General features: G+C 46.0%; 1 annotated feature.

The window, feature by feature from the left end:
- Nucleotides 289-1,927: an enhancer, noted in NCBI's record as "VISTA enhancer hs1491". NCBI's record gives its function as "enhancer in: limb[7/12] | tail[5/12]" and the evidence as "EXISTENCE:transgenic organism evidence [ECO:0001131][PMID:17130149]".

Here is a 9,833-nt window from a genome sequence, read left to right as displayed (position 1 = left end):
TGAAAAGTATTGTTTTATGTTTGAGCTGAAATCTTCCTTTATTCAACTTCTCCTTGGTTATCTATGGACTCTTCGGGGCCCTCATGAACAAGTGAGTCAGTAAAAACCAAGTGCTCATTGGCTAATTTGTTAAATAGCATATTGCTTAGGTTAGGCTAGGTTGCTCTGCTGCAAGAAAAAAAGCTCTGTGACTTAGCACAGCAAAAATATGTAATGTGAGTTCACTACAAGTAGCAGAGAGGGGCACTTATGCAGGCCCCAAACCCACGAAGACTTCACTATGTGGAACACTGTCATCATCGGTCCTGGCAGTGAGACAGAGAGAGGCTAGAGAATCCAATATCTGCTTTTCCATGCAGCAGAAGAACGGATGCATTTCACTCTGGTTGACATGTCACTGGCCAGTCACATGACCCTGCCTATGTATAAGAGGTCTGGGGAATGTGGAGGAGCAAATGGATAGTCCAGTGAACATCGCTATCTCTGCAACTTTCATAACAGTGGACTGATTCAGTTAGGACCGTGAGCAGGGTGCTGGCCTTCAGTATACTGGGTAGCTGTGGGCAAGCCCCTTTCCATTGCCAGGGCTCATTTTGCTCATGGGGAAAATGAAAATATGAATTACCACGCTGACTACAGATATGGAATGGGACTTGGGTGTTCCACAGGCCCTAGCTCTCTAACACTTGCCTCCGTGGGCTTGAGCCATTTGAAAACACAGCTGGGAAAGACCCCAAAGCATACAGGGGCATGTGAGAATGAGAAATCTGTCCAAGAAGCCAGAGCCCCTTTTCAAATGTTTGGCTCTAGAGCCCTCCAAAGCAAATTATGAGTATGGAGAAAGAAGAGGGTCTTTCCGCTCCTATTTCACCAGACCCTGTGATGCCCACAGCGTGGTCCCACTTTTAATAGTGCCTGGGGTGGGTGGAAGGGCCTGGTCCGTGGCCACAGAGAGAACTTTTGTCTCCAGGGGTGTCCAACCGGCCTCTATCCTGAGGATTACCGTAACTTTTTAATTAAGGCAAAGTTTGCAGGGAGTTTGGCCTTTTGATGTGGCAGCTGTAGCTGGAAAACAGGCCTGCACTGCAGACTTTACTGCCTGCCGATGGCCCAGGAGCTGCCACCCACATCTCAGAGCCCACACCCCATAAACAGCCCAGATCATGTGTCTTTAGGGCAGGGTGCATGACAGGGGTCGGGACCACCATGATGTGAGAAGACTGCTTTTGCTGATAGTCTCACAGGGCCTGGACCACCCCAGGTCCCCCACAAAATGGGGGTAGGGGTTTGAGATAGCAGAAGAGTGAATAAGGTGATCTTCGATACACATGGCAAAGTTGTCAGTCTTGGCCTCGGCCTCAGTGTCCTACAACACCCAGGCAAGAATGGAGTGGGGAGGGGCATGGAGCCAGGAAGTTCCTGCAGCGTCTTCACACCAGAGTGCATGTGTCTGCTTCCTCCGGACAGGGGGAAGGACAGGGACCTGCCTCACTCACCTTGGTATCCCAGAGTCCTACATAGAGTAGGCCAGCCCTTTAGATGCTGACAGAACTGAAAACTGTCCCTCTGGGGACAGTTACAAAGTGCACTTTGAGCATGTCGCTTTATTTGTATTCGATATCTATTTATTGAGCCTCTGCTATGTACCAGGTATGTGTCCCAGACACAGAGGATTCAGCAGTAAATAGCAACCCCTGCCCACAGACTGGCTATTCTGGCTTAGGATGTTTATGACACCACTGAAGTTTATGACATTTATGGCACCTACCATGATTCATCCAAGTCACACAGATAATTTAGGGCAAAACTGAGATAAGAACTTGAGCTTACTGATTCCCATGAGGGCAGCACTTTTCAAACTTTCTTACTGAAAAACCCCTAAAAGAGTGTCTGGGGGCAGGGCCCAAAGCAGTCAGATGCAGGTGTGCCATTACTTTGACATTTCAACGCTTTACTCAAAAAATTTATACAAATGTTGAATTCCATACTATATTATATCCATAGTTGTTTAACTATAAATAGTGTAAGTTAATAAATATATCTGTAAAAAAAGTTTTCACCTCATTTGTCCTGCATCTCTGTATTTCTCTTGGCACACAGACACATACTCAGCGCGAGAAGCACATTGTGAGCTCACGTGGACTCTCCTAAATTTCCACCAGGTCTTATGTGCTGGCTTCTCTTTGCTGATGTTCTCAAACGAGTTACAGCATACATAAAGTTAAAAACAAATGACAAACTAGGAAAGAATATTTGCAAATGATATGTCCTTGATCCCTCAAATACATATCCTACAGATCAATGAGGAAGAAACAAGACCAACAGTGCAATACAGTTGACAGCCATTTATATGAAAGGATATACCAGTGGCTGTTAAATATATGAAACTCTGCTTCACCTAATTCATAATAAGATAAATGCACATTTAAATCATGCTGAGATGCTCATTTTTACCTATAGGGTTGGCAAAAATCTCAATGTTGGTTATCACATGGTGTTAGGGAAGTGTACAGAAACAGTAGAGCTCATTGATTGCCACTGCTCCAGGTACAAAGTGGCACAGGCCCTATGGAGGGCAATTTGGCAATATTATAGAGAAAGCACATTTATAAACAAGGTGCTTTTATTAGGTCAACCCCTTTGTTTTAAGTGTCATTTATATATTCAGCACTGGCCAGAAGCTCTGTGGGAATAATGAGGCACTTGCACAGGGCCTGCCCCCAAGGAGCTTGTGACCCTGCCTAGTGGCACTGGAGACAGGACATAGTAAAAATAATGATATTTTATATCTCTCACTTATCAAGAACTTTCAAATGTAATAGGTCATTGAGCATCACAGGCAACCCTGCAAGGTAAGTATTTTTATTTCCATTTTCCAGTCCAGAAAGCTGAAGCAGAGCATAATTTGCCCAAGGTCACACATAAAGTAACCCCAGAGCCAGATGAAGAAACAGGGATTTCCATGCACTTTCTGCTGAGGCCAAGCAGCCTGCTCAGGGGAGAGCGTGGCTGCTAGCAGCACCAGACTGCATGCAAGACATCCAGAGAGAGTTCTCGGGAGTGGGAACCAGCGCAGGTGCAGGTCACTGGAGTCTAGTCCGGAGGCCGAGATGGCCTGTGCATCACTCTTACCTGGGTTCAACGGTTGGTGCTATTACTTGCTACCTGTGTGACCCTGGATGAGCAGCAAAACTCCTCTGAGCCCTAGGCTGTTTATGTATAAAGTACAGGCAATAATAAGGTTTTTGTGGGGATTAACAAAGATATTAATAGTATCTTTAAAGTACTTAGCCTATTGCCTGCTACATGGTTTGCACTCAGTAAATAGTGGTGATGAAGTAAGAAGAAGAGGAGGAGACAGAGGAGGAGGAGGGGGAACAGGGGGAGAAGGAGCAGAAGCTGGGGGTGGTGATTGTCAGCTTCATGGGAGAGGGGAGGCCTGAGCCTTGAAGGATGGGTGGAATTCACACTAGCATGCACATGTGTGTGTTTGTGTATTAGGAAAAAGGCTCTTCTCTGAATTGGGTCCTTGATGTAGCTCAAACCCGATGCAAAAGTGAAACCCATCAGACAGCAGTGTTTCTGGGAAGGTGGTGGTGGGTTCATAGTCTGGCGGAGGAGCCACCATGTTTCAGACCTGCAGGACTGAGGCACTCAGAGCTGGTCGAGCCAGACCTCTGCTTTCCACCAAGTGGGACTGTGACACACTGGAGGTAGCCCAGGCCACCAAGGGTGCAGTGGAGGGGGAGGGAGTGGCTCACACAGAGGGAGCAGCGTCCTTGCCCCAGCCAGATCACAGTGCACCTCTTTTCTCTCGGAGCCCAACAGTTGAGCTATTTAGAGGGAAAATCTGATTCATGTTGGGAGAAAAGGGAAAATACCTTTCCTCCTAACTTCCCATAGAGGGTTAAGCACTAATGGAATTCGAGGTTTCTGGTCAAGCCCCTAGAATCTCACTTAGCCCCTGAACCTCCATCTAGAGGTGAACTTTTAATTCCCAGAGTGATCCCAGAAAGCTCTTTTCCCTCCTCCTCTCAGCTGCCAAAATGACTCCCCAAGTCTGCCCTCCATATAAAAACACAATAAAACCTTATACAATCAGGAAAGTATTCAAGCCTCATAATAAATAATTGCCATGTGACTGGTGGATTGGATCTCCTGCACACCCTCAGTGGGCCTTTTTCTTTAACAGAACAAATAAAAGGAACAGATGCAGGGACTCTCCTGCCAACACCACCATGGCCTCTCCTCGGGGCCTGGAGGGTCACGGGGGAGCAGCCTCCCCACACTGGACACATGGGAACAGCAGGACAACACCCACCACAGAATGCTGCTCTAGAGACACTGGAACATCTTTGGCAATAGCAGCACTTTCTTCCCGGGTCCTTGTGGCTGTCTTCCTCTTTTGCTGCTAAGGGGGTGAGTCCACAGTAAGAAGAATCACCATGCTCCAAGTGGAATCCCGGCATTCCATGACCGGCTGACCAACCTCATCAGCTCTCCCATGCCCCCAGCACACATTCTCCGATGGCACTACCCCCTTTGCTATCTTTCATCTCACTCCCATTTCTCCCGCTCCTTTTTTTTTTCTGCTTCTCTCTCTCTATCTCTCTCTCCCCCTCCCTCATTAGACTGTAAGCTCTTCACAGGCAAGGCGAGCCCCTGATGAGGCTCGGTGTTCTGGCACAACTCCTTGATACCAGAGAAAGCCATTAAATGTCTGTCAGATTAAAACATGAACTGGAAAACACAGTTTGTTGAAAAACAGGAAATGAAAGGCCACCCTACCAAGTGCCTGTATGTTCTCTTCAAGATTGATCCTAGCACATTTTGCCACTTCGGGTGTCTCTGCTTCAATTCTCCAAGTGTTTCCTGACAATCTCTGCCCTGCCTGGCTCCTCTGAGTAGAGTCATGTGACACAGAGCCCAAGGCCTTTCCTATGCCATGCTAATAGCAGGGACCTGTATTGGTTCTGCACAGCCAGCACCCAGCCCCCTTCTGATCTGAGCACCTCTGGCTCCTCTCTGGGGCCAGCCCCCTACCCCTGGCATGCAGATCTGAAGGTTCCCTGACCTCTCCAGCACCCAAGCCTCAACCTAGCCAATCCCAGGATTCTCCCAAGAAATTCACATCCCTTTGCTAATGGCAAATAGACAGAAACTGGCTGACCTGGCAGTGGCACTTGGAGGAGATTGCCCTTAGGTCTCTGCACACTCCACACTGGAGCTGCCCCTCTCTTGCTCTCTGAGAGGTCAGCCACATCAGTTTTTCCCTCTATTCTCTCCTTCTAATAAGTTCCCTTTGATACTTAAGTTGATTGGAGCTGGATGCTTAGAATCCAAACATCCTAAGTTCAGATTTCACCTTGGGATTTCACCCTAAGTTCAGTTCACCTTGACACTACCGGCATTTTCACTGGATAGTCCTTTGCTGTGGGTATCTCATTGGTAACCAGCGTGGCAGATGGCCAGTGGATGCTGGGTTTCCTTGATGCCTTGATGCAGCCAGCACTCCTATGCCAAGGTTTCTCAGCCTTCGCACTATCAATATTTTGGACTACATAATTCTTTGCTGTGGGCACTGTCCTGTGCATTGTAGGATGTTTATCAGTATCCCTGCCCTCTATCTGCTAGATCAAGGGTCCCCAACCCCTGGGGTTGCAGACTGGTACTGATCCATGGCCTGTTAGGAACTGGGCTGGACAGCAGGAGGTGAGCAGCAGGAGAGCACTACCGCTTGAGCTCCACCTCCCGTCAGATCAGTGGTGGCATTAGATTCTCATAGGAAAGCAAATCCTATTGTGAACTGTGCATGTGAGGGATCCACGTTGCAAGTGCCTTATGAGAATCTAATGCCTGATGATCTGAGGTGGAACAGTTTCATCCTGAAACCATCCCTCCAACCCTGACCCCATGGAAAAATTGTCTTCTACAAAACCTGGCTCTGGTGCCAAAAAGATTGGGGACTGCTGCACTAGATGACAGCTGCATCCCCTACTTGTGAAAATGTCTCCACACACAGCAAAACTGTCCCCAGGGAGGTAAAACCACTACCATAGACTGATTAAATGGTTGAAAACCAGCATCCCTAAATGGACTTGGTGGCTGAGTGCACATCACTTGGTGTAAGGCGTTGAGTCAGCAGTTGGGGGACCTGGGGCCACCTTGCCTGGAGCTTTCCTTCATTTTGCCCTCCCCACTTGCTCCACCTTCCTCCCAGGACGAAACCTGAGCCAGAGTGGGGACAAGCTGGGAGAAATCCAAAGGACTGCACAACAATGACATTGGAAGTTCCATTACCACGTCCCAGCAAGTCCTTACTTGTCAAAGAAGTTAAAACCTGCTTCTTGGCCAGCTGGCTGAACTTGCTGATAACTAAGGCAAGTGAATAAATACCCAGACCAGTGGAGTCTGTCTGAAGTATCAACATTTCACTTATCATATTGGGTGGCATTCAACAGACAACAGAGAAATTGTTCTTGCAAAGACAAACCTGTCTTTCTTCCATCAAGTGCTCTTTCTGCCATAATGACCAGCATGGCGGAGTGGGAGGAGAAACAAGCTGAAATTATAAACCTCGGAGATACGGAGCTCAGAGGCTGCCCTTTCAGACAAAGCAAAGCTCCGACCCTTTCTCACACTTCAAATGGAAGCCCCTTTGAGCCTGGATAAGATGCCAGTGGACGCTTTGTTCTTCCCTTCTCAGGCCCCGGTTGCTCACCTTGGAACTTTCTGAGGCCACTTAGGTGCAGGTCCACCAAGGACATCTGGCCGGTCCAGTTCCAAATAGGTAACTCTTAAAATCCTGACCTTTGCCCTCTGTGCTTTACCATCTGTCAGGTAGAGGGAGGGAGGGCACTGAGTGTAGCCTGGGAGTCAGGACACTGAAGATGGGGTCCCAGATCTATCACTAACAGCCACAGCTTGGTAACACCTTTCCCCTCCCCGGGCACCTGTTTCTCCATTTACAAACCAGTGTTGGAATAAATCAGTGAGTCTCAAAATTTATTTTGGTTTCTTACGATTACTCTGAACCTTCCCATGGAGTATGTGCACTTGGGCACACTCCCATGGATGCATAATTTCATAAAACATATGAAGATGCCCGGAGCCTCTCACAGCCATGCAGTCCAGGGTAAGGCCATTGGACCAAATGTCCTTGAAGAGCCGCCGCTTTCTTGACCCAACTTTGGTAGCTCAAGCCCATCAGTTTAGCTTGTGTGATGGCGGACAGGACATGAATTTTGAAATCAAACACATCTGGTTTGTGATCCCAGCTCCTTCTCTTATTAGCTCTGTGATACTAAGTTTTCTAACCTTCCCAATCCTCATTTGCTTTGCTTATAGAACAGTGAAATAATACCCCTGCAGTTCGCTCTAAGGATTAAATTACGTAAAGTGTGTGACCACCACACACCTAGAGAATTCTTCATTCATTTCTGCTTTCCTACCCTTTCCTCCTCCGCCTTGTCCTTTCATTGGTGTGAGGCTCGTATTAAAACAGGAACAGAAAAGCAGTTAGTACATCAGATTATTTTGATGTCTGGGCAGGTCCTGGGGAAGGTATGATTATGTATCTACTGTTCACAGCAATACACACACACACACACACACAAAAAAAAAAAAAAACGTGACTCTATATATACATATGGAAGGTATGATTATGTATCTACTGTTCACAGCAATACACACACATATATATACAAAACATGATATATACATATACACACATACACTAAACGTGACATCCCAAGACATAAATTTACAGTTTAGGAAATGGCTCTTTACAAGCTGTGTGGCTGTGTTTAATGGGCCTACCCTCTCTGAGCCACATCTATAAATGGGGATGATAATGCCTCCCTAACAACCACCCACTCAGAATTCCCTCTGGATACCAGACACTGGGCTGAGCATTTACATATCACTTTACATCATTAATGGCAAGTCTATTGTGAGGATGGCATGAAATAACCTACTTGGAAGGGTTTTATAAACAGTGAAGCATGAGGCAGATATTTCATTTTCCCTATTATTAGTAGGTCTCAAGTGCTTGTTTTCCATTGTGAAAACAGGAGGGACTTTTCCAATCAGAAGGGCAAGTGTGTGTGAATGAGATGTGCCAATGAATGATGGTGAGTCAAGGGCTGTTTCAAAATTAAAAGGTGAGTGCCGGCTGGCAGCTTCTTTCCTGGAGCTTCGGTGAGACATACAAAGAGGACAGAACACAATATAATTTCTCTTCCTGTATGTTTCACAGAACATACAACTCTCCTTGCTGAAAGTCTAATTTACCCAATTGTCATTTAGCACTCAACTGACTGGATGCTGCAGCACAATAGCCCAAATCCTGGATGAAATGATACATCTAGTAATAAAATATCTAAATGATGGATAAACATGGTTTAGGGAGGCTTTGGTAGGTAAGGCCGCCTCAGCCAGTCTAAAAAATCCCCATGCTTTGGAAACTCTCACCAAGACACCTACTTCCAGCACGTAGACCTTTTTGTCTTTATTGAGCTGAACTGCCAACTCCAACGTGTGCAAATACAGATTTAACAGGCAAACGTGGAGCCAACTCCAGGACTGTAAGTGTTTGAAACGGCAGATCTGTTTGATGAGCAAATAATGCGCGATCAATAAAGACTTGTCGAAATGAAACGAAAGGAGAGCAGCTGTTTGCTGAATCTACTCTGGTATAGATGGTACGCAGACCAAACAACAAGGAAATGCAGTGCAGGGGTGTCAGGTCCGAGCAGTGTGTGTTAGAAAGAGAATGCTGGAATTCTTGACTAACGTGAACTTACCTGGGCTGAGAGAAGGGCAGGCTGAATGCAAAGGGGGCCCTGCTTGGAGTCACCCCGTGACTTCCTGCCAAGGAAAGAAAGAATAATCAGGAGCTGACTGGAGGACTAAGCCAGGTTTGCAAAAATTAACATCTTGATTCATAATAGCCAAAAGGTGGAAACAACACAAATATTCATAAATGAATGAATAACATGTGGTATATTCATTCAATTTGACTACTGTGGGTACCTCACATAGGTAGAATCATATAAGATATGGCTTTCTGTGACTGGTTTATTTCACTTAGCCTGATGTCTTCAAGGTTCATCCATGAGGAATTTCCTTCCGTTTTATTTTTCTTTTCTTTGGTTTTTTTTTTTTTTTTTTTTTTTTTTTTTTGAGATAGGGCCTTGCTCTGTTGCCCAGGCCTTAAAAGGAAGGACATTCTGCCTAGAGTGGCTCAGGCCTGTAATCTCAGCACTTTGTGAGGCTAAGGCAGGAGGTTCACTTGAGGCACAAGGTTTAAGACCACCTTGGGCAACATAGTGAGACCTTGTCTCAAAAAATTAAATAAAAAAGTAGCCGGGAGTGGTGTTGTGTACCTGTAGTCCCAGCTACTTGGGAGGCTGAGGAGAGAGGATCTCTTGAGCCCAGGAGTTTGAGGCTGCAGTGAGCCATGATTATGCCACTGTACTTCAGTCTGGGCAACAGAGCAAGACCCCATCTCAAAAAAATAAAAAAAAGAAAGAAAGAAAAGAAAAGAAAGAAAAGGAAAGAAAGGGAAAACAGAAGAAAATTCCTCATGGATGAACCTTGAAGACATCAGGCTAAGTGAAATAAACCAGTCATAGAAAGCCATATCTTATATGATTCTATGTATGTGAGGTACCCAGAGTAGTCAAATTCATAAAGATAGCAAACAGAATGGTGGTTACCAGGGGCTGGGGAGAGGGGAGAAGGAAGAGTTATTCTTTAATGGGTTCAGAGTTTCTGATTAGGAAGACAAAAAAATATTCTGGAGACAGACAGTGGTGATGTTTACATAACAA

This window comes from Homo sapiens, chromosome 10 (genome assembly GCF_000001405.40).
Source record: "Homo sapiens chromosome 10, GRCh38.p14 Primary Assembly".
Classification (NCBI taxonomy): domain Eukaryota; kingdom Metazoa; phylum Chordata; class Mammalia; order Primates; family Hominidae; genus Homo; species Homo sapiens.
Note: the sequence above shows the minus strand (reverse complement) of the source record. Positions and strands in the feature narration are given on the sequence as shown.